Consider the following 27482-nt stretch of genomic DNA (forward strand, 5'->3'; position numbering starts at 1 on the left):
AGCATGCAGATGTCTGTTTCACATACTGATTCCAATTCCTTTGGATAAATAGCTAGTGTTGGGATTGCTGGGTCATGTGGTAGTTATATTTCTATTTTTTTGATAAACCTCCAAACTGTTTTCCATAATTACTATAATAATTTACATTCCCACCAACAGTGTGTAAGGGTTTTTTCTTCTTCACATCCTCACGAACACTTGTTATTTTTTGTCTTTTTGATAATAGCCATTCTTACTCGAGTTAGGTGATATTGTGATTTTGACTTGCAGTTCCCTGATGACTAGTGATGCTGAGTATTTTTTCATATACTTGTTGGCAATTTTATGTCTTGTTTCAAGAAATGTCTATTCAGGTTTTTTGCCCATTTTTAATTGGATTATTTGGTTTTTTTGCTATTGAACTCAACAGTTTGGGTTCCTTATATATTCTAGATATTAACCTCTTGTCACAAACATTTACAAATGTTTTCTTCCATTCTGTAGGTTGTCTCTTCACTCTGTTGATTGTTTCCTTTGCCGTGCAGAAGCTTTTTAGTTTGCTTTTGTTGCCTGTACTTTTGAGGTAAAAAAAAAACTCCTTGCCCAGACCAATGTCATGAAACATTTCTCCTGTTTTCTTCTATTAGTTTCATAGTTTCAGGTCTTACAGTTAAGTCTTTAATCCATTTCGAGTTAGTTTTTATACAGTAATCCCCTCTTTTCCATACGGGATACATTCCAAAACTCCCAGTGGATGCTTAAACCATGGATAGTACTAAATCCTATTTATACTAAGCTTTTTCCTATATGTACATGCCTATAATAACATTTAATTTATAAATGAGGCACAGCAAGAGATTAACTATAATAAAATCAACCAATTATGAAAATATACTGTAATAAAAGTCATGTGAATGTGGACTCTTTCAAAATATCTTACTGTGCTGTACTCACCCTTCTTGAGACAATGTGCAATGATAAAGGGCCTACATGATGAGATGAAGTGCAGTAAATGACGTAGGCATTGTGCCGTAGCATTAGGCTATTACTGACCCTCGATGATAGGTCAGAAGGAAGACCATCTGCTTCACTGATCCTGGACCACTGAGCCACGATGATGTTGATGACAAATAGGCAGGCAGCATATACAGTACAGATACACTGGACAAGACCCTCGATGATAGGTCAGAAGGAAGACCATCTGCTTCACTGATCCTGGATCACTGAGCCACGATGATGTTGATGACAAATAGGCAGGTAGCATATACAGTACAGATACACTGGACAAAGGGATGATTCATGTTCCTGAAGGAGGGAATGAGATTTCATCATACTACTCAGAAGGGTGAGCAATTAAATCAAAACCACAATGAGATACCATCTCACACCAGTTAGAATGGCGATCATTACAAAGTCAGGAAACAAGATGCTGGAGAGGATGTGGAAAAATAGGAATGCTTTTACATTGTTAGTGGGAGTGTAAATTAGTTCAACCATTGTGGAAGACAGTGTGGCGATTCCTCAAGGATCTAGAACCGGAAATACCATTTCACCCGGAAATACCATTTCACCCAGCAATCCCATTACTGAGTATATACCCAAAGGATTATAAATCATTCTACTATAAAGATGCATGCACACTATGTTTATTGCAGCACAGTTTACAATAGCAAAGACTTGGAACCAACCCAAATGCCCATCAATGACAGACTAGATGAAGAAAATGTGGCATATATATATATATACATACACATACCATGGAATACTATGCAGCCATAAAAAAGAATGATTTCACGTCCTTTGCAGGGACATGGATGAAGCTGGAAAGCATCATTCTCAGCAAACTAACACAGGAACAGAAAATCAAACACTGCTTGTTCTCACTCATAAGTGGGAGTTGAACAATGAGAACACATGGACACAGGGAGGGGAACATCACACACCGGGGCCTATCGGGGGGGTGGGGGGCAAGGGGAGGGATAGCATTAGGATAAATACCTAATGCGTGCAGGGCTTAAAACCTAGATGACAGGTTGATGGGTGCAGCAAACCACCATGGCACATGTGTACTTATGTAACAAACCTGCACGTTCTGCACATGTATCCCAGAACTTAAAGTATAATAAAAAAAAGAAGGGTGTGCAATTTAAAACTTATGAATTACTTATTTCTGAAATTTTCCATGTAATATTTTCAGACTGTGGTTAACCGTGAGTAACTGAAACCTCAGAAAAGAAAACTGGAGGCTGGGCGTGGTGGCTCCTGCCTGTAGTCCCAGCACTTTGGAAGGCCAAGGCGAGTGGATCATGAGGTCAGGAGTTCAAGACCAGCCTGGCCAACATGGTAAAACCCCGTCTCTACTAAAAATACAAAAATTAGCTGGGCATGGTGGTGGTGCCTGTAATCCCAGCTACTCAGGAGGCTGAGGCAGATAATTGCTTGAACCCGAGAGGTGGAGGTTGCAGTGAGCCATGATCACACCACTGTACTCCAGCCTGGGCGACAGGGTGAGACTCTGTCTCAAAAAAAAAAAAAAAAAAAAAAAAAAAAAAGAAAGAAAGAAAGGAAAACTGGGATAAGGGGGGGACTATGTTATATGGTGAAAGATAGGGGTCCAGTTTCATCCTTCTGCATGTGGGTATCTAATTTTCCCAGCACCATTTATTGAAGAGACTATCCTTTCCCCAAGGTGTGTTCTTGGCACCTTTGTTGAAAATCAGTTGGCTGTAGATATGTGGATTTATTTCTGTACTGTTTTTATGCAAGTACCGTGCTGTTTTGGCTACTATAGTAGCTTTATAGTATATTCTGAAGAACATGAAGTAAGAACATTATCTTAAAAATGTTCATAGAATGGTTAGGGCTTCTCCTACAAAATGCACTGGTGAGTCACAAACACAAAATAAATTTTATTATAGTTTTCCTTATTTTTAACCCAAAATAATAATAGCCAGTTAATCAATCTACCATATTCATCAGTTGTCAATCCAACTAGTTTTGACTGCTTCCAAAAAATCAAATTTATCTTCAAAAGATAAAGATATCCATTATTCCATCAAGCCTATTTTAAAAATTGGTCCCACATACCTCAGGTAACTCCCAAGCAGTATTTCAAACATATCCTAAAGATGATGACATTGTTAGAAAAAGATGATAGCCTCATAAGAGATTATTTTTAAAGGAATACTTAGTTGCTCTTCAATGTTTGTTAAAAATACAACTGATGTTATTTTATGATCATACTTTGGCTACAACTACAGATGTACCCAAGAAATAAAGTAGGTAAGAATGTATTCCTTTACAAGATAATTCATAGTGATCTTTCTTTAAAAAGTTGTTTCCGTTTTACAACCACAATAACTATCCCTACATCATTAGAGATGCATCTCTTGTAAAAGATGAGCTTTTCTTGAGCCAGCAGGCTGGATATCCACACATTTGAAAATAATCTTAGTTCTTAACATTCAGTGAGTTTGTCAGAAACATAGGATCTCAGACTCCACTCCATACCTATTGAATCAGAAAATCTGTGTTTAACAAGATTTGCAGGTGATTTATAAGCAGGTTAAAATTTGAGGAACAGAGAGCTCTTGCTAATCTTATGAAGAGACATAATTTATAACACCAACGAAACAACTATTGAAGATGAGAAAACTTTTTTCTGATAGAATACATGATGACCTTAACAAAGCCATATAAATATAAATTTGCTCAAGAATGTAAATGAAGATATAAACATAATAAGGACAGATGTGACACTCTGTCATACACTGGATAGAACAGCAGATTAGGCACAGCAAAAGACAAGATCAGTGAACTTGAAGCAATACACCCTATCCAAAATAAAGCAAAGACAGAAAAGAAATAAACAGAGTCCATGTGATCTATGGGAAAATATCAATCAGTCTAATATGTGTGTGTACTAGTTTGCTACGGCTACTGTAAAAAATTACAACAAACTTAGCCCCTTAAAATAACACAAATTTATTTTATACTTCTGTAGGTCAGAAGTCCAATTAGGGCCTCACTGCTGTCCACAGGGCTGCATTTATTGCAGGAGGGTCTAAGAAAGAACCAATTTCCTTGTCTTCTCCAGCTTTTAGAGACTCCAGTATTCTGTGGCTTGTGGCTTCCTTCCTCCATCTTCAAAACCAGCATGGGGTCCTCACACTGCATCACTCAAACCTACTCTTTTTAAGACCCTTGTGATTACTTTGGGCCCTCCCAGATGATCCAAGATAATCTTCCTGTAAGATCCCTTCTGCCCTGCAATCTAACATACTCACAAATTCTGGGGATTAACATGTGTGGACATCGTTGGTGAGTCATTATTCTGCCTTCCACAATATGTAATTCGAGTGCCAGAAAAAGAAGAGGAAGAAGGAAGACAGAAATTATATTTGAAGAAATAGTGACTGAAAAATTTTCCAAATATGATGAAAAATATAAACTCACAGATCCAAGAGTTCAACAAACCCCAGTAGAAGAAATTTAGATAAAACCACACCAAGGCAGATCATAATCAAACTTGATAAACAGTGATAACTTCTCAATTACTGATACTTCAAAGAAATGGCATCCTTTATACTTTTCACCAGTATTAAAAATCCTTCATTAAACAAATGTTTGTAGTTCCCCGTAGATTCATGAGGATTTTCCTCATCATGTATCCTTAAAGAGAAATGTGAAAGGACTAGGAAAAGCCCCAATCTTTACCTATTTTAAAGCTATCATAGAAATACTTCTGCAAAAAAAAAGTCCATCCACTGGGTGTAGTGGCTCATACCTGTAATCCCAGTACTTCAGGAGGCCAGGGCAGGAAGATCACTTGAGGACAGGAGGTTGAAACCACCCTGGGTAACATAGTGAGACCTTGTCTCTATCAAAAGGAAAAAAATTAACCAGGCATGGTGGCACACACCTATAGTCCCAGCTCTTCGGGGCTGAGGTGAGAAGATCACTTAAGCCCAGGAGTTCGAGGCTGCAGTGAGCTATGATCATACCACTGCACTCCAGCCTGGGCAATAGAGCAAGACCCTGTCTCAAAACACAGAAACACACAAAGTCTACCCAAATATACACCACAGAGTGAATGGGTAATTATTTAGCACAAAATGTTAATAGAAAACACAACTTAAGCCACAATCAAACAGCATTATTATATTTTTATATTGAATTGAAAATGCTTCTGTGTTGCTAGGAAGGAGAAAGAATCATTGTCACTGGTACCAAAAAAAATAAATAAATAAAACAAGACTAGAATACACGTTTATACCCCTTTCCTCATCTCTTGGCAGGGCCTGCGTTTCTCCCCAGCATCTGGTGGAGCGTGAAAAGTCACTATTTAAGCCCTTATCTGGAAGCAAACCCTGGGTTTAAAAAAACGCCTGTATCTCCAGTTACATTGGCTGGTCCCCCTGCTTCTATTCAATCACACAGCCTACTCTTCATCAGTCGTGCGTTGCTCAATGATGAGGACAGGTTCTGAGAACTGTGTCATTAGGTGATTCTGTAGTACAAATATCACAGGGAGCACTGACGCAAACCTGGATGGTGTCGCCTACTGCATACCCAGACTCTATGTACAGAGTGTTGCTCCTAGGCTGCAAATCTGTACAGCAAGCTTCTCCCCCGTGGCCCATGGGGCTTTGAATGACGGCTTTGAATGCGGCCCAACACAAATTTGTAAACTTTCTTAAAACACTATGAGATTTTTTTTTTTTTTAGCTCATCAGCTATCATTAGTGTATTTTTTTCTTTTCTTTTTTTTTTTTTTGTTTTTTGAGACGTAGTCTGTCACCCAGGCTGGAGTGCAGTAGTACGATCTCGGCTCACGGCAACCTCCGCCTCCCGGGCTCATGCCGTTCTCCTGCCTCAGCCTCTCCGAGTAGCTGGGACTACAGGCACCCACCACCACGCCCGGCTAATTTTTTTGTATTTTTAGTAGAGACGGGGTTTCACCGTGGTCTCGATCTCCTGACCTCGTGATCTGCCCGCCTCAGCCTCCCAAGGTGCTGGGATTACAAGCGTAAGCCACCGCGCCCAACCTCATTAGTGTATTTTATGTGTGGCCCAAGACAATTCTTCTTCCGACGTGGCTCAAAGAAGCCAAAGGATTGGACATCTCTGCCGTACCACCTGTGACTGTGCTGAACAGTGTAGGGAACTGTAACACAGTGGTATTTATGTATCTCAACAAAGAAAAAGTACAGTAAAAATACAGTATCAGAATCTTATGGGACCACTGTCATACATACCATACAGTCTGTTATTGAATAAAATGTCACCACGTGGTACATGACTATATTTCTTCCCTTTCTTCCTCTTCCTTTTTTTTTTTTGAGGCAGTCTCTCTCTATTGCCCAGGCTGAAGTGCAGTGCCCTGATCATGCGCTACTGCAACCTCAAACTCCTGGGCTCAAGTGATCCTCCCACTTCAGCCTCCAGAGTAAATGGGTCTACAGGTGTCTGCCACCATGTCTGGCTTTTTTTTTTTTTTCCTTTTTTTTGTAGAGACAGGGGCCTCGCTATGTTGACCAGGCTGGTTTTGAACTCCTAGTCTCAACTGATCTGTCCACCTCAGCCTCACAAAGTGCTGGGATTATAGGCGTGAGCCACTGCGCCCAGCCTGTATTTCATTTTTATTATGTTAAGCATTCTTAAACGAGAATGTTCTTAAGCATTCTCATGCCTCAATGCATTTTTAATTTTAATACTAAAAAAAGGTTTAAAAAATTTGCATCAATTTGGTCTATAAAATGTTTGTGAAATGACAATAAATGTTTAATCTTAAAGCTGTATTTCAAAACCATGGTTTAACCCAATTTGTGAAAAATATACAACTGGTAAGTACAAGCACTAAGATATTCTACTTTAGATGTATTTTATTCTACTGCAGCTTTTTATTTAAGGCTGCAAGTGTATTTCTCTTCTTTCACATCAATTTTGTATCTTTTTTAATTTACAGATAAAATGCAGGCATGTTTCTTAAACATTAGGACCAATGATTACAGGCACTGAGACTGTATCTCTACAGAGCTGAATCAGAACCAAGAGATGGCCACATCTAACAGACGGCTTCATCTAATAGAGACACTGATTCACTGGCACGTATTTTTCTCATTTTATATCTGATTCTGCTTAAAAAAAATTTTTTTAAGAGATTGAGTCTCACTGTGTTGTCCAGGATAATCTCAAACTCCTGGCCTCAAGCAATCCTCCTAGCTCAACCTCACTGGGATTATAGGCATGAGTCACCACACTCAACCCGATTCACCTTTCTGAATACAGGTTTATATGCGGGAACAAGTTGCCCAGTAAAGCTCGGGATTTTCTCGTAATTAACAGCTCTTTTGTCATTTTTCTTCAAATAGTTGCCAAGCCATTGGCTGTATTACTTTGCTTCTTAGGCCATGGCGCCTGGTAACAATGCCAGGCACATCAGGCTCTTAATAAATATATTTTATGAATGTATAATAAATTTAGAAGTGATTATATCATCCTATATTTGGTTCCTTCATTATGTAAACCATGCACTGAGCAGCACTCTCTAAAACTGCCTACATAGTATTTTGACTCTTCTGGACTTTATATAAATGGAATCATACAATGCATGGCTTTTTGTCTGGCTTCTTTTACTTACCATAAATTTTGAAGGTTCATTCATGTTGTAATACGTATTAATACTTCATTCCTTTTTAATGGCTGAATAATATTCCATTGTTTGGACATGCATTTTGTTTATTCATTCAATTGATGGACATTTGGGTTATTTCCACTTTTTGACTATTATAAATAATATTCCTATAAGCATTTGAGTACAACTTTTTGTGTAGACGTATTTTTATTTCTTTTGAGTATGTACCCATGAGAAGCATTGCTGGATCCTATAATAACTCTATGATTAACTTGTTAAGGAACTGCCAATGCGTTTTCCAAAGTGACTGTGCCACTTTACATTCCTACCAGCAATGTTTGAGGGTTTCAACTCTCTCCACATCCTCAACATTGGTTACCGTCTTTTTCATTTTAGCCATCCTAGTGAAGTGGCATCTCATTGCAATTTGATTTACATAACCCTAGTGATTAATAATGTTGAGCATCTTTTCTTGTGCGTATTGGCCATTTGCATATCTTCCTTGGGGCATACACGCTCAGATCTTTTGCCTGTTTCTAATGGGGCTTTTTGTTCTTATTGTTGAGTCGTAAGTTCTATATACTCTGGCATCAGTCTCTTATCAGGTATATAATCTGTAAGTATTTTCTTCCATTCTGTGGGTTGTCTTTTTCATTTTTCATGGTGTTCTTTGAAGCATACAAGTTTTTCATTTTGTTGAAATCCAATTGATCTATGTTTTTCTTTTGTCACTAAAGCGTTTGGTGTCATATTGAAGAAATCTTGCCTGAGCCAAGATGAAGACTTACTCCTGTGTCTAACGGTTTTATAGTTTTAGCTCTTAGAACAATGATCAATTTTGAGTTACTTTTTGAGGTTGAGGTAGGAATCCAACTTCATTCTTCAGGATATGAATATCTTGTTGTCCCAGTACCATTTGTTGAAGACTATTCTTTCCCATTGAATTGTCCTGGCACTCTTGATAAATGTCAATTGATCATAAATGTAAGAGTTTATTTCTGTTGGCTATCTGAGTTCCTTGTATTTCCATATAAATTTTAGGATCATCTTGTCAATTTCTGCAAAGAAGCCAGCTGAGATTCTGATAAAAATTGCATTGAATCTGTAAATCAATTCGGGGAATATTGCCATCTTAACAATATTAAGTCTTCCACTCCACTATCATGGGATGTCTTTCCATTATTTGGGTTGTTTAAAATTTTTTCCAATAATATTTTGTAGTTTTTCAGTATACAAGTTTGGCACTTATTTTGTTAAATTTATTCCTATTTTATTCTTTCTGATGCAATTGTAAATGGAATTGTTTTCTTAATCATTCAGATTGTGTACCACTAGTGTATAAAGGTACAAGCGATTTTTGCATATTGATTTTGTGTTCTGCAGCCTAACTGAACTTGTTTCCAATACTTTTTTTTTTTTTTTTTTTTTTTCTGAAAGAGGGTCTCATTCTGTCCTCCAGGCTGGAGTGCAGTCGTACCATTGCGGCTCACTGCAACCTCCACTGCCCAGGCTCAAGTGCTCCTCCCACCTCAGCCTCCAGAGTATCTGGGACTACAGGCATGCATCACCTTGCCCAGCTAATTTTTATATTAATATTTTTAGTGGAGATGGAGTTTTGCCATGTTGCCCAGGCTGGTCTCAAACTCCTGGCCTCAAGTGATCCACCCGCCTTGGCCTCCCAAAGTGCTGGAATTACATGTGTCAGCCACCCCACCCAGCCTGTTTCTAACACTTTTTAATTGGTAGCTTTACCCTATGTGTGCTTTGCTACAAAATATCCAACAGCTCATATTAATAATCCTCTTTTAATGCTTCAGAAAAACTTTAATTTCTTTTTAACTGATATTCCGATTCTAACAAAAATTATTTGGACTAAAGTATTCCTTTTCCATCCAAAATCACTGTCTACACTGGGCATGGTGGCTCATGCCTGTAATCCCAACACTTTGGGATGCTGAGGCGGCAGGACTGCTTGAACCCAGGAGTTCAAGACCAGCTCAGGCAACATGGTGAAACCCCGTCTCTACAAAAAATACAAAAATTAGCTGGGTGTGGTGGTGTGCACCTGTGGTCCCAACTACTCGGGAAGCTGAGGTGGGAGGATCACTTGAGCCCAGGAAGGTCAAGGATGCAGTGAGCCATGATTGAGCCACTGGCAACAGAGTGAAACCCTGTCTCAAAACAAAAAACAAAAACAAGAACTCTTAAAAAAGTTTGCATCTTCTAGGGCAAAAATAAAATACCTTTATGTTTTCCCTAAAATGAAAGACTGTGTCATCTTAGCTTTTACTTAGTCTGACTTAACAGTTACTCAATTATGCTGTTTGATAATGATTATGTCAGATTTACATTTTATGTAATAACTAGAAGTGGGAAGCCACAACCATGTCCCCTTATTTAGCCACAGCTATTCTGCCTTTGTACGCAGAACGCTGCTCAAAAACCATAAATAATCAGTATCTGTTTATTTTTTAAAGTCATGGGTAGCAGCTATAGGTTTTTTTCTTCTTCCTGATGGAATGGTACCACGAATAGCAAGCATGTGTGCTTTACGTGTGAATGTGTAAAATACCGTATGAAAATCCTCTTGGACTACATATCACTCTGAGCTTGTCACTGGCCGTCCCTTTCATTCATTAGATCAAATGAATTTCTGGATGATTTCTGGTCACTTTCCTGACAAAACTGAGCATCTTGTATTTGGATATTAAGCATGTAACATTTTCCTGATGTTCAGAGACAAGCAAAACTCTTAGCTTCAGGGAGAGAAAAGTTATGTATTCAAAGAAACAGAAAAGTATTTACAATGAATTAGAAAGATGCAAAAACCAAGTTAAAACACTTAACAGAGACTTGACATTTATTGTGCAATTTTATCCCCAACAGAACACGTGGCATTCTAGAGGTATATGAGGTAATAAAATCAACACTCCAATTAGAACACCTGAAATAATTGGCTCTAGTAACAAATGTCTCTTATAATTAAAAATATTGAATGTTTAAAAAACTTTTATAACATTTTAAGTTTCTAAAAGAAATGAGCCTAACACTTAAAAAACAACTTACTCTTCTATATAAATTGTTCACAAAAAAATCTTGCTATTCTATATTACACTATGCATTTGTAGCTTTATTAACATATCCCTAGTGGGTATTAACTCTACACAGTACAATCAAATAGAAATTATTCATAGAGAATCAACAAGACTCCAACAATAAAAATATCAGGATCAATGGATTTGTCACAGTTTCTCCACAAGTATTCATCATAGAAAATAGAGTAAAGGCAACTCGGCCCCGGTGTTAGGCTGCTACATGAAGTTCCAGAGAGGAGAGACATAAAGGCAATGCCTAAATTGCGCAGGGTCGGGCTGGAACAGTGACCTTGAAAGCTTCATGACCCACCTCTAGCATGCCCTGTTCCCAAGAAGTGCAAGCCAGGACCCTCATGGCCTTGGCATGCTCTTGAACTTAAACACAGCCAAAGGGATGTGAAAGCCAAAACTACAGGAAAAAATCAACAGATTACTGTATTTTCTTACAAAATTTTCACAACAGTTCTCACAGTGACATCATAAATTAAAACTCTCTCTTCCAAACCAATCAGACTCATCAGCTCTAAAGCTACAAAGACACAAACGTGAAAAGTGAATTGAACGTTGGCTACCTGATGCCCCGGTGCTATTTCTAACATCTAGGAGTTCCCAAAGACTCTCACTTCACTGAGTTCAAATGTTTGCTTTTATCTCCCTGCATTTTTGCACTAGGAACCTATGGGACAAATGTGAACAAACTCGTGATTTTAATTTTAATTTACCTACTTTTAAAAAAAGTTTTCTGGTCTTCATCATAGGATCTTACGTAGGTCAAGCCTTATACAGAAACCTGGGCAGATCCCAGAGGATATATGGTTTGTATGTTCCTACCTAAGCATCGACATACTTTAGTAGTTTTTAGCAATACACAAATATCAACTCTCCCTTGATGGCATAAATAAAACAACAAATCCATTCCAAAGTGTTGATGGGCTTTGAGAACTGTGCTCCAACTACTGAGGAAGACTGAACTCGTCATTCTGCTTCCTATGCCCAAAGCAATCCTCTTCTTAGCTGAGTACCCTGGGCAGTTTCCTTATCAATACAATGGGGATAAGAACAGTAACAGCCTCATAGGGTAGCTGTGAGGATTAAAATGAGAATGCATTAAAGTACTTATCCAAGTAACTGTCACACAATAACTCAATAGATAGATATTAACTATAGTTACTACTGTTGTTGCAGTTAAGTGGTTCTGAACGGGCCCAAATAGTTTTCCAATGTGGCCAGGATACATCTGGCCACTTGTACTGGCCCAATTATTCCAAGAATAAAGAGGTTTTCAAATGAGTCTTACTAGCAAGACATGCTTTCACTGTAATTTGAGGATCTGTGATTCAATAAAAACACAGCCCTTATATCAGACAGCTATAGAGAATTGTGAGGAAAATTAATCCGGTCCCCATTACTGCAAATACTTGGTAATTTAGTGCCTTCAGAAGTCAAATTAACCAAGCTGGTCATCAGATGAGGGAAGTCTCAACCTCTCAGTGTTAACCTGCAACTGAACATATTGTGGCGTGTGAAAGTGGTCTCTAATGTGTACACAGATCAGTTAAACTTTTACATTTTACATTTAGAAGGCAAATATTGATGGGTTATTATTTTTGCACTCCATGTTGTCTGATGTCAATTCTTCACTCTCCTCTAAAAAAAAAACAAAAACCCAACATAAATAAAAGAACCAGTGCCACTGGCTGACAGTGTAACTTTGCAGAGGACTACCCATCTGCTGGGTGACGTTTTCCTACATTACTCCAACTGAAGTGGTTATTTTTATCCAGCACTTACATGACTGAAAGCAGCCATCACTATGTTTACAAAAATACATCATAATGATACATACTGCTGTTTAGACACATTTACATTAGAGTTCTGACTCAAGCACTCCATTTGACATGTTTTGCCAAACAGTTCTGGCACGTGTTGCCACATTAAACATACACCAGCAAGACTTGCACCATATGTGCAAAATCATTTTCTATTACATTTCTAAAAATCTGTATATATGAGCTGTCAAAAATTAACGCAGATCTGTACTGTGAAATGACACAGCACTGAATGAGGAAAGTTATACATTTAAATCTTTCCTAAAATTGAAGCTATTATCCATGGATGACATTTCAAAAAAATAATTGAAACCTAAGAAACTCAGGAGGTAGTCAATGGGTATTAGGTTTAGGTTCTAGAGCATAAATTGAAGGATGGAATCTAAATGAGGACAATGGATGTTTGCTTTTCTGAACATATAGTGCACGTTTCATCTTTACCTGATCTCCATCTGTTTTCTGAGAGCAACAGAAGGGAGGCAACAAGCCATTGAGAGCGGCAGGGGAATGTAGGAATCATAAACCTACAGATTCGAAGTCTGGGTTATTGCCTAATTTGGGGTAAACATCTGATACTGCAAGAATAGTTACTGGACTTAAAAAAAATCCTATCAACATCAGTTACCACTAGTTGATGGGACATGGAGTAGTTGGATCAAGTAAAAAAATGGTTAATAATTTATCTCTCCTTATAATCCTGTAGGAATCTCTTATGTCAATGTGTCTGTCACTGACAAAGGGATAAGGAACAATGCAGAATACCCGATCACCCACTAACTCTACAGCCGTGAAGTAGCTACAAATATGTCTCGAATCCCCTACAAAAGGAGATAACAATTTTCTGCAAATGCTCTAATATTATCCTTACATTCCTAGTGAAGCTTAATGAAACATAAATGGTAACGGTCACCTAAATGCTGTGGTGGAATGAGGAAAACCAAAAAAGTGATGCGCGGGTTCAAGGGCTAGAGGAAATATTTACAAGTAAATACAGAAAGTACTTGTAAAATGTTCAAGTAAAATGAGAAAGTACTTGTAAAATTGAAATGGTTACAGTTTTTCTTGAAAGCATTTAACACTAAGGTTAAGCCATGAGATTTTGAACAATGCACCGTCAAGAGTCAGTGAGAAATGTGACTTTAGTAACTGCTTGCAAAATACTGGTCCCCTCCACAGGCTCCTGACCTACACTATCCAATACATATCATTTGAGGGTCATCCTGAGCCTGGCTGGAACTGAGCTTGGGGCTTCAACTCACTGCGAAAAGCCGGCATGATCTTTGTAACAAGATTTTAATTTGGAAAACACAGGACAGTTGTCACTTTTTGTAGGTATGGCTCTTCTGCTTATGGACCACACCTAGTCACCGACAAAAAAGCCACATTTAGTCTTTGTTGTCAAGCCAGCCCCGTGACCTCCTCCTCTCACCAATTAAGTGGGGGCACAGCTGCATCCTGAGCTGTTTTAACTCAATCTATTTTACACTACCAATGCTAACATGACTCAAGAAGGACTCTAAAAGCTGACATGACTAAGTTTCTTGTGAGAGCAATCTGTCCATTTGCCAGATAAAGATGCAGAAAATCAAATCAAAATAATAAGCAACACCTTCAAGTCTCCAAGGATTTCAACTGAAAGGCTCACAGAGCAATGACAGCATCCGATCCTAGTGAGTGAGCTTTTAACCTGGCTACACAGAGGCCCAATGGGCCTTGCCAAAATACAAATGAACATCCTTTGTTGGTCCTGATTTAAACAAGAGGAGACCATGCAGACGACCACCGTGAACTTACGTACATACCAGCCTTAAAGGTGAAGCTCAAGGGGCAGTGTGGATATGTCCCAAGGAGAGGAGCCAGCAGTGTCCACAGTGATGCTGTATCACGGCCTCAGTGGCGGCTAGTGCCTGCGTCAGACGCTAGGCTTGGCTAAAGGAACCCAGCAGATACACAAACAGTAGAAGTACAATGGAATATCTCACTCAGGAGCAAAAGTCGTAGGAACATTTCACTCAGGCAAAAGCTGTAGGTCCGAGACCCAGCAGAGGAGTTAGAACTGGCTGTGCGATGCTGAGTATGGAGTCTGTCAGCCTTGTGCAAAAGAGATGCCCAACAATTAGTCTCAACATTCAGAATCTGTGGATGGAGAAACAGCTGATAGAGAAATGATTAACCTGGAATGGGTGCGAGGGAGGAAGAGACCATGTGTAACTTTGGAACAAAAGTGGTGTGCAAACCTGGGACAGCAGCCTTCTCAGGAGGTAACAGTGACAGCCAAAACACAGGCTGCTGCCCCCCGCCCTTGCAGCAGTGGTGCAGGTGCGTTGTCATGTACGGCCATGGAGCAGGGGTGCAGAAAGTGCTCTCATCAGCCTCAGCGAAGACCAGCACGATAGGGCTCCAAGATGATATTTGGATATGAAGAAATATTCAGGACTCTCAAACTTCCAGAAAAACAAGAAGGGCTAGTCTGTTTTTCTTAAAAGCAGTGATCAAATATTGTTGCTTTAGAAAAACAGAACGATGTATTCAGCAGTAAGGACAACTTAAGGCCAATGAAAAATTAAGGTAAGATGGAAAAACAGATGAGGCTATGGTGGTGTTTTTCTTCTAGCGAAGATGTCATGTTGTCAAAGAATCTTATAAGACAGACACTGACTTCTCGGACCTCTAAAAAATGCTTTAAGAGGTATCTTTCTTCCTTGGAGAGCCAAAGAGACTGGTCTCATGGCTGCCGTAAGAACATGGCATTTGCCCATATCATTTCTTTTACTTCCAAATTTTAGCTAATTTGCCCCAAATAGAATTGAATATTGGTTCTCCCTATTCCATTGAATGATATGACAAATTTTAGTTAATTTTCTCAAAACAGGATTGAAATATTAGTGCCCACTACATCATTGAGCAGATCTGACAGATGACCACCTCCATAAACATTAAACTTTTCAATGGATGAATTCTAGTAATACAAAAAAGCTAATAAACAAAAGCTACAGAAAGACCTGTTTCTAGGACTTTGTATATAGTGAATACAAACTAAATATTAAATCTAAAGGACAATTTATGAGTTTATGTTGACAAAAATAGCCCAAAAACCCTTTATCAATGGATGCTCATTAACCTGAATCTCCAACCAATTTTCAAAAACCCTTGGTCATGTCTGTAGATGACATTAGTAGCCTTCAATAAACGCTGTCCATTTAGCCCTTTGCTCTACAAAGAATGTAGTAATCTGGACTAGTTTGGTAAAGAAAGCCTCTCCTGAGTCCAAACAGGAAGCCCTCAGAAATGATGACTCTAGCACCTCTATAGCATTTGCCAATATGGAAAGTTTCCAAAGATACCACTAATTTCACATATGGAACTCAACAAATTAACCAGGGGATAGCGGCACAGTGCTGACTTAGCCATAGCTAAGGGGTACATTGGGGTAAAGGAGGCACGGAGGGGATGAAATGTTTTCATCAAGGACAATGGGAAACAAGTTTCATACAAATTCTAAAGATCAGCTCAGCAGAGAAAGACCCTCAAATTTCAGAGCAATTACTGACAAGCCCATTGCATAGTTGTCAGAATCGCCTTGAAGCTGTGTGTATACAATGCCAGAACATCTAGTCAATTCAGCGAATACCATCAGTCACACCACTTGTTTGGTCTTCAGTGCACCAAACAACTAATTGCTTTAAATTTTCATTGTTCTACCCATCACTTTGGCATTGTGTCAACAAAGCCTGATTTAAGGCTATGGAAACTGCGGATTTATTAACCTACAAAACTGAGCATTTGAAAATGGTTTTGGATCTTTGGATGTTTCTTGACTAACAATGAAAAATGACTACTGTTTGTAAACTCCAGAGATCAAATAGTGCCTTCTTGATCAACACAGTGGTTTTTAAACAACAGAAAAACAGTTGACCTGTAATTAATCACTGTCTGCAGATGTTGCCTCTGTTCTCTGGTTTCCTTTTAGTAATAGACATTATTAATGTCAAAATGGTATATGATGTCATCTATCCTATGTCTTTGCCGAGAAATATGAAGTCAAGTCTTTGGAAAACATAAAGACAACTTATTTGAATTAAGAGAATGTTTGCTTCTTGTCCCTTAACACAACTCCATGTCTCCACCTTCTCCCATGGGCAGAAACACTACCCCAGCCTACCTTGGGGACTATCTCTGCCCAGGTAGCAGAGTTTGAAGATTTCAGAAAGGTAACTAGGAGCTCACCTATTTTTTCACCCTCATGATCTAGCTAGTAATCATTTAAAAATCAGATGTAGTTTTTTCTTTTTATAATATAATATTCCAAAAGTCTGTTGTAGGTGCCACAGACTTCCCAAACAACCCTAAAATGGATTTCTATTTGGGTACTGTGGCAGCTGAGAATGTGTAGACTATGGCAGAATGACAGGCTTTGGACTCTCAGGTGACAGGAACAGGACATTCACAATTGGAACTCTTGAGAGGACCAGCTGCTACAACAGGAAGATTCTGTCCACTAATCCCCAGATCCATCCTGGGAACTTTTATTGAAGACTTCATCCTGAGAAGCCTGGTGATCGATCCCTTCATAAAATGAGCCACCGTTGTGCAGGAAAGTCCCCACCGCCCGCCCCTGTCGGGCGTGACCGACAGCGTCGCTGAACACTTTGTTTATCTGCTCTTCCGAGGGCATCCACCAATCGGGGTTGGAGGTACAATGCATCCTAATGAATTCTGCAGGAATATATACAACATCAAAAAGAGAGAGAGAAAAAAACAGCTGGTTTTTGCAGAAGATGACAGGGCAGGCTGCTTAAACTTTAACAGAAGCTCTATAAGAAAAGCTTTATGGGAAATCCAACGCAATGCCATGATGATGTCACTCATTAGACCCAATTTATTCCATACAAATTTTCTTCTCATGTGCAAAAGTAAAAAAAAAAAATTACACAGATATAGAGGGTAATCCCTCTAAGGAACATTTGCTGTTGAAATAAAAGGTAAATTTGATTTGTAAGGCATGGGATGCACCATGTCTGGTGTAAGTCAAGGAGACAGATTTCAAAACCCAAGTTGTTACCTGCTCACATTTTGAGAATGTTACTATCTCCAGAAGCACAGCAAATACCATTAGCATGGTATTCTTTAACCAGCTACTAATTTGAAGATAGAGTACAATAAAATAACAGTCTTAATGACTGAGGAGGTGCCTAAGTGTTAGTTCAGAAAAGGTACCCATGTTCTTAGAATGTTGTGTGATTAGCTATACTTATTTCTGAAAATGTCATTTCTATACATGGGCTGACAAATATTTTTTACGTGTTATCTCCTCTAAATATTTAATTTTACCAAAAAGCAATTAACATGCCCAGAAGAGTGAACTGTCGCAGCTGCCTCCAACACAGATAATCACCATATCTTGCCTACGTATTTCCCAACCAAAAGCGGGATGGAGGTCCACGCATTGTGGCCCTAAGTGAAAAATGAGCTAGAGACAGCAGTCTCTGGTTAGGCAGCCTGGACTGCATCAGGCATCAGTGTGACAGTGGCTCCTGCAGTGTTTCCAGAGCAGCAGCACTAGTTCTCTGGGATGTATTTTAATCCATCAGTTCTACTGACTTGCTATAGAAATGTAAAATGTTGAGTAAGAATTTCTGGAAAATGATACAGCGATGAGACCCCTTATTTGGCTCCTTTATAAGCCCAAAGGCAACTCCCTTGAGTACACACAGACAGGGCACTCAGTCAAGCCCCCAAGCTCAACACTGCCCCTTGGAGAGTAACTCCATCATCTCTGATGATGTCAGGGAATACAGAAAACTATGGCTAGTTTGGCAGGACAGACCCTGGAAATTTCTGCCACTTAGTCACTCTGAGTAAGTGGAATATTCAGACCAACTAATAGGAGGTGTGCTGGAGCACTTGTGCCTAGTAAATACAGGCATTTTCGTCTCAGGTGGCTTCCTGAATCGTGGGCCATGTGTGCATACGCCCCTAAGGTTGTCTTGATCTAGGAACCACGCATGCCTGCCCCATCCCTTCTGAATCAGAATGTCTGGGGGTAGGCCTAGGGAATCTCAGCTGCTAACAAAAACTACATATGCATCCTAGGCACATAATGTCCAGAATCACTGTGAGCATCTCAGGAGGGAGTGCAGAAGTAGAGTATTCTTTCCAATAACTAGGGCCTTAGCAGTGATAATCCGGCTTTTTTTTTTACTGTGATTTCCTCACCAGGAAAAATTTTTATCCCTATTTCAGTAAATCAATATTAAGTCTTTCCAGCCAATAAAACTGCCACTGAACTGTATAGGTTAATATTGAGCTTTTTGATATGGATTTTTCAGGTGTGAACAATGTTTTGTTGGCACTATAACACTTCTATTTGTCTAGGTCTGTATTTGCACTTGCTGAATCAACTGGATACCTCCTGATTCCTCCTTCCCACCCCTCTGCCTGGCCTACAATAGTGCAGATCAACTGCAAAGTAATCAGCTATTAATACTGCTGAAGTCGTATTATCTCTGCAGTACACTTAATAGAAACTTTTTTTTTTTAACCAAAAGAGAAATGTTCTACTGGGCAAGGTGTATTTTAGCATTAAGGAGAATTAATCCTAAACAAATTTAAGGAGTTGGGCCAAGTATTCTTGAGAAGGTATTAGAAGGGGACACAAACTAGAACTGGAAATGAGGTAACATTGTACCCATTAAAAAAATTTTCCACACCTTCCCTTCTTCTGTGTGTTCCCCTATGCTCCAGTTTTGCTGGAGGTGGCCTTCTCTGGCAGCAAAGAAAATCTGAATTTGAAGCGTGAAACATGAGGTGCTATGCGATGCTTATGTACCACTAAGAGAGAACAACAACGCTAAGGCAAACGGAGGTTTTTAAAAGAGCTTCTCAAGACTGAGTAGATGGGCCACATGAAGCCTAGACGTTCTCAGCAGAAAGAAATCAAAATACAGAAGGCTGAACACTTGTACGGGGAGAGCCACAGCCAATGCGGTGAAATGAGATCACAGATGGTGACACTGAGCGGAAGGATGCAGTACCTCGGAGGCATGTTACTTTAACTGGATCCAGAGGGCGTCTTTCGGGACCTGTCTCTCCTGACTGCACTGACCTTTTCCTTTTCCCAAGGCCGCATGAGTACTTAAGCTCATCGGTTGTGAAAACAAATCTGATGAGGTATCGAAGGAGCCGTCTCCCATCTTTCTTTGAAGAATTTACAGCCTCATCCCACTGTTTGCTCGTTATGTAGACAGGATAGTTGTTCAACAGCTGCTTGCTTCCCTGGAAAAGCGAAATATTTTCTCATTACCCACCGAGCCAGCCAGCCAGAAGCAGAAGTGATCTCCATTTCAAAGGCAAACATGCTTTTTTTAACCAAGTGGCTATGCTGACAATGAACCAGGTATTGAAGTGCGCAAATAATTGCTCAGACTTAGAAGGGGCACTTTTCAAATTACATTTGCATTTTCTATAACAAGAGCCAATGAGGTATAATGAACACCTTTGAAAGGGGAGCTATTTATAACTTACATTTTAACAGGTAGGTTAAAATGTGTCAAGATCCAATGACAGGGAACACTATTTAAATCTAACCTGTAACTTTCCTTTTCAATCTATTAAAATATGCAAAACTTTGAAGAGTGTGATCAAACAGGTCTCTTCAATTCTTTGGTTACTTTTAAGTACTTTTAGAAATGATGCTGGTGATCTATTTTAATAAGGTTTTACTTGTGTTTAACGCACCCAACACCTGGTAGTCACTGCATTACAACAGAAACATTAAAAAGCAAATTTTAAGAAGGGAGAATTGTGGAAACTGAAAAAAAAAATCACTAATAATCATGCAAAACAGGTTTCCTCAAATTATAGCTTCTGCAAATGCCACTATGTCAACTCAAAATTTTTCTTACTTTTCACCTTCATAATTTACGTCTGCTATAAAATTCCCGGGCTAAATAGCTGCAGTGGGACTAATTACGGGAATTTCCGTAACATTTATAAGCCATGTTTAATCAATTGCACCTACACAACCATTACTTTAGTTCTGGTTGTCCATAAAATTCTACAGTCCAGGACAAATTAATTAACCCATGATCTTAGTTTTAATATACTCCTTCCCCAGTAATTAAGGTGTACAAAACAAAGGGAAAACTCATTCATTTTACAACTCGGCAAATTTACTACAGGTTATAAATTTGGCACCATTTGGATCTGATAGGGTTTTATTTCAAAAAGTGCTCTGTTGAGTTAAACACTGAGAAGGGGAAATGGCATAGGAACCAACAAGAGGGAGGCAGCCCGATGCGGCTAGGAAACCGGCACGGAGTTCTGCGCGTGGAGACTCATCACGGCAGCATTCATACTCTCCTCAACAAGCAACGGCGTGATGTGGTTTCCTTTCCTAAGGAAGGCAACTGAGGCACCTAGTTTGTGCTCTGAATTTAGTCAGGCTGGGTTTTAATTGAATCTTGGTTCTGTGTCTTATTAGACTAACGAGCTAGTTACTTCAAGTTGTTGGACCAAAGTTTCCTCATCTGTACAACTGAAAGGAACTGAATTATCATGAGTACAAGATATGACTATTTGGGAGCATGAGCCAAGCCTTGGCTGGGTACAGTGGTGGACCCTGTGTATAAGAGACAATCAAAAGATGGGCAGGGGCCCAGAGCTCCCAAAAAGTCCTTCAGCCCCGGTTGCAGTTTCATGGCAGGAGATGAGAGACGGAGGTCTGAATCAAGTCTGTGCAGGACAGAGAGAGGTGGGAGTGAAAGCTGTCGAACTGAGAGGGCTAGGCAACCAATTCCATGGGCCAGGGTATGTACGGGAGACTGAGGAAGCAAGATGATCCCCAGGTCAAACAGCGGTGTCTTTCACAAAAATGAGGAACAGAGGCTACGGCTGGGAGGAAAGCAGCAGGAGGGAAAATAAATCCATTGCTTCCCAAGCACTGAGAGGAACAGGCTCCTAAGGGCTCTGAATGGTTGACCCCCAGCCCTCAGGGAGGCTGGGTGGGCCGGGAGCGGGGGTGAAATCGGGGGGCTGGCTAACTCAAAACCACTCACTGTGTCACCAGTACTTTTGCGGAGGAAGCTTAAGCTTAGTAACTGTCACCATTTATTGAGCAACTGATGACCAGCCCGAAGCACCTGCCCCAAGCACTTTGCACACTTCCCTCCTTTCTCCTCACAGGTGGAGGTACTAGGTCTATTCCTCAGCTGGGCTCTGGGTTCAGCCTTGGGCAGGTGACTTTTCTAAACTTTGCTCCTTTGTGTTAAAATACAGATGATAATCCCAGCTTGGTGGTTTGTGGTGAGGAGACCAGCCGTCTCCCACCAGAAAAAAAGCTTATGAGGGCTGGGACTGTTACCTGTTTATTCAATGCCAGACTCTCAGGGTGGAGTACAGCTCCTCACACAATGCAGGTGCAATAAACATTTGCTGAATGGCTGACGCAGTAGAGCACGGGCCTCTGTGGCTGGCACACAGCAGACACCCAGTAATGGTGGCTACAATGAAGAATTCTTACTTTTTTTAACCACTGAATATAAATTCGCAAAGTTAAAGAACTTTAAGGAGAGCAACATAGATGAGGAGCCACTAAAAAGGAGACTTCTACCATCCTTAATTTAAAAAATGAGACGTGCACCATCCTCTTAGTTATGGTCCCTGTAAATATTCGTCAGCCTTAAAAAAGACTGTCTAGCTGCTTTTTAAGCTGTTTATTTAACACCATATAATTTTTAAAAGCTGTTTTGCTCAGGAGAGTGAGCTTACCTGGTAAGCCAGGATTACAGCTTTATCTTACCAAGGAGGTCAAATCCATTTCCAAGGCCTCACAACTCAAAGGGACGGGGCTGCGGATGCCATCCTCAAGTTCAGAGTTCACCCTGTAAGCGATGCTTTGCTGTGCCCCTGAAAATGGTCTATTTCAAGATGGGATGGACTAGTGATCTGGCAGCTGACAATCCAGGAAAAGAGCTTTCTCAAAACCTTTGAAAAAATCCACTGAATGCAGCAGCTCTACATAAAATGTTGGTCTCATAAAATGTAGGAATACCATTTGGAGGTAATTTTCATCAAGAAAAAGGGAAAGAAAAAGAAAGCAATTTATAGCCCAAAGCACAATTCAGAATGCTCTCTGGGTTATGGATGAGATCTATAAACCTGTTTTAGCATAGTTAATAAGTAAAATATGATAAATAATAAAAACGAGAAAATGCTCATGTGCCTGAAATGACAATATAAAGAGTCATAATGATGATGAGTCATAAAGTTTAAGTAGTCTTATGTAGATATTTCCCCTATCTTTTCATTTTTGTAGAATTCTGGTTGTATATTTTCAATTAGCCACCCACAGGTTATTAAACATTGACCTATTGTTGAGTCACTGAAAAAAAAACAGAACAAATCACCCTTAATTAATGGGTTACTTAAGAGTCATCATCAAATGGAAGACACAGGTGTACATTTACTATTAAGCAAGGAAACTAGTTCTGAATTAGACTGCTTTGTGCCACACAGGCACAAAGCAGGGGTGTGGCAGTCAGGGAGAGCTTCCTGGAAGAAGTGGGCTTTTCAGCGGTGCTTTTTATATGACAGTATTGTCAAGTTAGGAAATATGGATTTAATTCTAGGGAGCAAAGGATTTTAAGCATATATTTACTTTGGATCTGTAATTCAGAAAAAAAAAAAAAAAAAAAAAAACAACTTTCCAGGGTGGAGAACAGAGAAGAAAGAAGCTGCTGCAATAGTCAGGTGAGAGAGTCAACCTAGGAAAAGAGAGGCAGTTCAACATGGCTGTAGAATTCTTAGACGTAGGAAGTAAGGGGGTCAGTGATATGTCAGAAACTTCTACCTGGGGTTGGTGGGGCCTTTACTGAAAACAGGAGGAACTGCAGATGGGTATTCAGAATAGGTGTGGTGAGATCAAGCGATGTATGGGCAAACCACTGTGGGCCAGGTATTTGGCACGGTGGTCTACAGTGAAGCCACAGGGACTGATGCTCTAGGTATGCATGTGGGACTTGTTAACACACATGTAGTCAATGTTATAAGAAACATAACTGGGCACAGGCTCATGCCTGTAATCCCAACACTTTGGGAGGCTGAGGCAGGACAATCACTTGAGCTCAGGAGTTCAAGACCAGCCTGGGCAACATAGTGACACCCCATCTCTATAAAAACTAAAAGTTAGCTGGGCGTGGTGGTGCACACCTGTAGTCTCGGCTATTTGCGGGGCTGAGGTGGGAGGATCACCTGCGCCTGGGAGGTCGAAGATGCAGTGAGCCATGATCATGCCACTATACTCAAGCTTGGGCAAGAAAGCGAGACCCTGTCTCAAAAATAAGTGAACAAATAAATAGGAAACATAACTGATGAGAAAAGGCAGTAGAGAGTGAGAGAAAAAGACAAAGCATGAACTCTGGAGAACAGTAGATGGAAAAACTCATGAAGGCGTCATAGGAAGAGGGGCAAGGAACCAGGAGAAAGTACTGACACTAAGGCTAAGGACAAGAGAGAGCACGGAGGAGGAGAGGTGAGGGCCTGGGGTGACCAGAGTGGAAAAAGGGTCACTGGACCAGACAACTGGAGAGTCACCAGGGGCCTCTTGCAGAAAACTCTGGTAGCGGTGGAAGTGAAGCCAGATTACAGGGTGGAAGAGCAAATGGAAATTAAAAGACAGAAGATAACGAATATAGACCAGCTTTTCAAATGTTTAATCATTAGAAAAAAATGAGGTCACCATTCAGCAATCATGAATTGAGTGTCTTCTATGACACTAGAGATGAGACCCGGGCCCAACTTTCAAGAAGCAAGATGTGCTGTAGTGTAGAATGAAGGTGCTGACCCAGGATACTTTGGGAGCCTGGAAGGAGATGGAAGTAGAAAGGAGAGCAATGACAGCAGAAGAGAAGGAGAATCCAAGGAAGGCTTCTTTTTAGGCTGGGGGAAACCTGAGAGCTTCCCCAGGGGATTCTCATGGGGATTGTCCATGGTTCTCAAGTCTCGTATGAAAGTCATATATTCAAAACTGAGTCTTGAACATCTTATAAGTATGTACCATCTTTATTACTATTAAAACACACCATTTCTTCTACAGATTGGGAGAGACTGTGGTTTCTTCCATTTAAGTCCAGGTGAAAAAAATAACCCATGTGCAGGGGCCCTGACTTCTGGAAAATGCCTATCTGCACACTGAAGAATCATGCCCAGTGTGTGAGGTGCCCAGAGTGAGGGGCATGTGGAACACAGGCTCTGTCTGAGGGAATGACAAGTTGGTGTCTCTCATTCCAGGCATCTCTGTGCAAACAGAATGGTGGAAAAATTGCCCATGCTATTTAAATTGTCATTAGCTCTGTCTTTCCCCACTTAGTACATGCAGCTGAATCTCTGTAGTTAAATACATGCGTGATCTTTCTCCACAAATTACATACTTACAGGCAACAGACCCATAAACCTCAGTCAAAAACTATTTTGCTAGCCAGTCTGTTCTGGTATACACTGATAAGTTAATCAAGATACTTAAGAGAATTCCAAATGGAACATTCACCTTTTTACCAGAGACCTACCTCTGTCGGCTGGTCAGCTGGCTGTGGTATCAGGAGTTGGTTGTGGTGCTGCAGAACCATCTTCAAGTAATCTAAAACGGTCTGGCAGGGCACTGGGTGGAAGAAATGGCAACAATTACACATTGGCTATCCCGTAACATGAAAATAAATAAATTTTTTAAAGTTTTTTTTTTTTTAAACAGAGGTCTTACTGGCACCCATACTGGAGTGCAGTGTGGTGATCTCAGCTCACTGCAACCTTGAACTCCCAGGCTCAAGTGATTCTCCCACTTCAGCCTCCCCAGTAGCTGGGACTACAGGTGCGCACCACTGCACCCAGCTAATTATGTTAATTTTTTTGCAGAGATAGGGTCTTGCTATGTTGCCCAGGATGGTCTTGAGCTCCTGGCCTCAAGTGATCCTCCTGCTTTGGCCTCCCAAAGTGCTGGGTTCACAGGCGCAAGCCACCGCACCCAGCCTCTAAAAAGATTTTTGATGCAAACTTCCAAAAAAAAAAATATTTTCTAAAGGAAATAGAATCTTCTTTCATTTGACATCCGTAGTTATTTCAGTTTGTAAATACAGAACAGATGCTATAGTTTGGAAAGAATTTTTAGGCTCAGCACAATTCACTGAGAACTTTCAAGTCAAACTTACTCCAAGATGAATTTGGGTCAACAATCATGATCACAAAGAACTCACAGAAGAGACATGTCTTGACTTATTTGACTCAGGTTGCAGCAGTAGCACCCAATGATGCTTTTAAAAATTAAGGTACTGAAAAGTAAGGTTTTGCTAATTATTAATCAATAATATAAGTGTTTCTAATGATGGATTCATTCCTAGTTCTTCAGTAAGCAGAATTCCATACAATTAGACTTGCTTCTCAATGCATACACACTTGGCCACACAGTTCTTCCCTAAGTGTCCCAAAAAGAAGCTCAATTGATTTGATCCCTTTGGTTATACATTTTACTATTAAACTATTTTTTGAGGCTTAGTCTTATAGACTCATTGAATAATCACAATAAAAGTGAATAGATACCAACCTAACATAGAGCATGACATTTTTTTGTACCACTACATAAATAATGCCTACATCTGAAGATTTACATTACAGTCCTTTCAGGAGTAGTAACTAATTGCCTTTAAAGGTCTTGGTAGCTTAGGCCGGGCGTGGTGGCTTACACCTGTAATCCCAGCTCAGGGAGGCAAAAGGCGGGAGAATAGCTTAAGCCCAGGAGTTGGAGACCTGCCTGGGCAATATAGCGAGACCCTGTTCTCCAGAAAAAGGAAAAACAAAACAAAACAAAACAAAACAAAAAGAACAAAAGATAAAGGTCTTGGTAGCTTAGTTAATAACCTAATTTATATGAATTGTTTCCACTGTATTTCTTAGCTGTGTGTTTTCTTAAGATGTTCTTGTCACGTTCAAGAAAATAATAAATATTTAACCTAAGCCCTAATTTTAAAGTATCACCACCAAGCTTTCTAAATTTCGTGTTTCTCACCCATTTTTTTTAAGATAGCAAACAGGAATTATCATTTTATGCAATGCTAATATAATAGCTTTGGATTTTTTAGGTGACATCACAATGTAACATAATAAATCAAAAACTACTTCAACATCCTTTTGAAGAATTTGAATAACAGGAAGTAGGAGTAGGTTAGAAAATTTTTCTTCTTGCCAAAGAAGTATTTTCTTAAATAGTCATCATTCTTACAGACCTGGGCTGTGGCCACTTGTGAACAGTTATATGGATATATTCTCCAAATTGACGAAGCACTTGCTGAACAATAAGAGGTCAACCAAAATAAGTCACGTGTATCAGAAGTAGGCCTGTTATTAAACCAAAGTTCAATAAACCTGTCAAATGGCCCTAATTTCACCAGCTTCTTAAAAGTCCAACCCTTTTTACTGATGCCACAGTGAGGAAGAATGTGTCTCCTGACACTGAGCATTAATTGCTGGAAAAAACCCTAAGTCTTGAGAAACAAATGGAGACAGGAAACAGGTCTGCATTTTAGTTCCGGGTTTTTCACTGATTGTGTGACCTTGGGGACTTCATTTACTTTCTACGTATGAATCCCTTCTACACAGTGCTGAGTATGAGGCTCCAAAGCAGCATTCTGTTCTTCACAGTTTATGGTTAGAATAAAATGCAAGGGTACATATGTCACTGCTTTGTCAAGTGACATGTGCAAGGTACTACCTTGGATTTTGCTTGGAAGTTTTAGAGAAATTGTAAAGACTCACTGACCAGGATTTGAATGAACTTTTTTCTGATCCCTCACCCATATTTTAGAGTCATTAAGATGTTGCCAGGCATGGTGGCTCATGCCTCTAATCCCAAAATTTGAGAGGCAAAGGTGGGAGGATCGCTTGAGCCCAGGAGATTGA

At 39.8% G+C, this 27482-nt stretch overlaps 1 protein-coding gene across 3 annotated transcripts in view; it reads right to left on the reverse strand.

The window, feature by feature from the left end:
- Window positions 1-10372: 10372 nt before the first annotated feature.
- BEND4 (BEN domain containing 4) overlaps window positions 10373-27482 on the reverse strand; it is a 41803-nt gene continuing 24693 nt past the window's right edge. For 2 of the 3 annotated variants that reach the window (NM_207406.4, XM_017008185.2), the window contains 3 exons: window positions 25103-25194; window positions 19574-19814; window positions 10373-17255 (listed from right to left, as the gene is read on the reverse strand). In NM_207406.4, the coding sequence (NP_997289.2) occupies window positions 17038-17255; window positions 19574-19814; window positions 25103-25194 (551 nt within the window). In that variant the 3' untranslated portion in view covers window positions 10373-17037. The remainder of the gene's footprint in view (window positions 17256-19573; window positions 19815-25102; window positions 25195-27482) is intronic. The other variant, NM_001159547.2, reaches the window with a different exon arrangement.

The sequence above is a fragment of the Homo sapiens genome, chromosome 4 (genome assembly GCF_000001405.40).
Source record: "Homo sapiens chromosome 4, GRCh38.p14 Primary Assembly".
In the NCBI taxonomy this organism is placed as follows: Eukaryota; Metazoa; Chordata; class Mammalia; order Primates; family Hominidae; genus Homo; species Homo sapiens.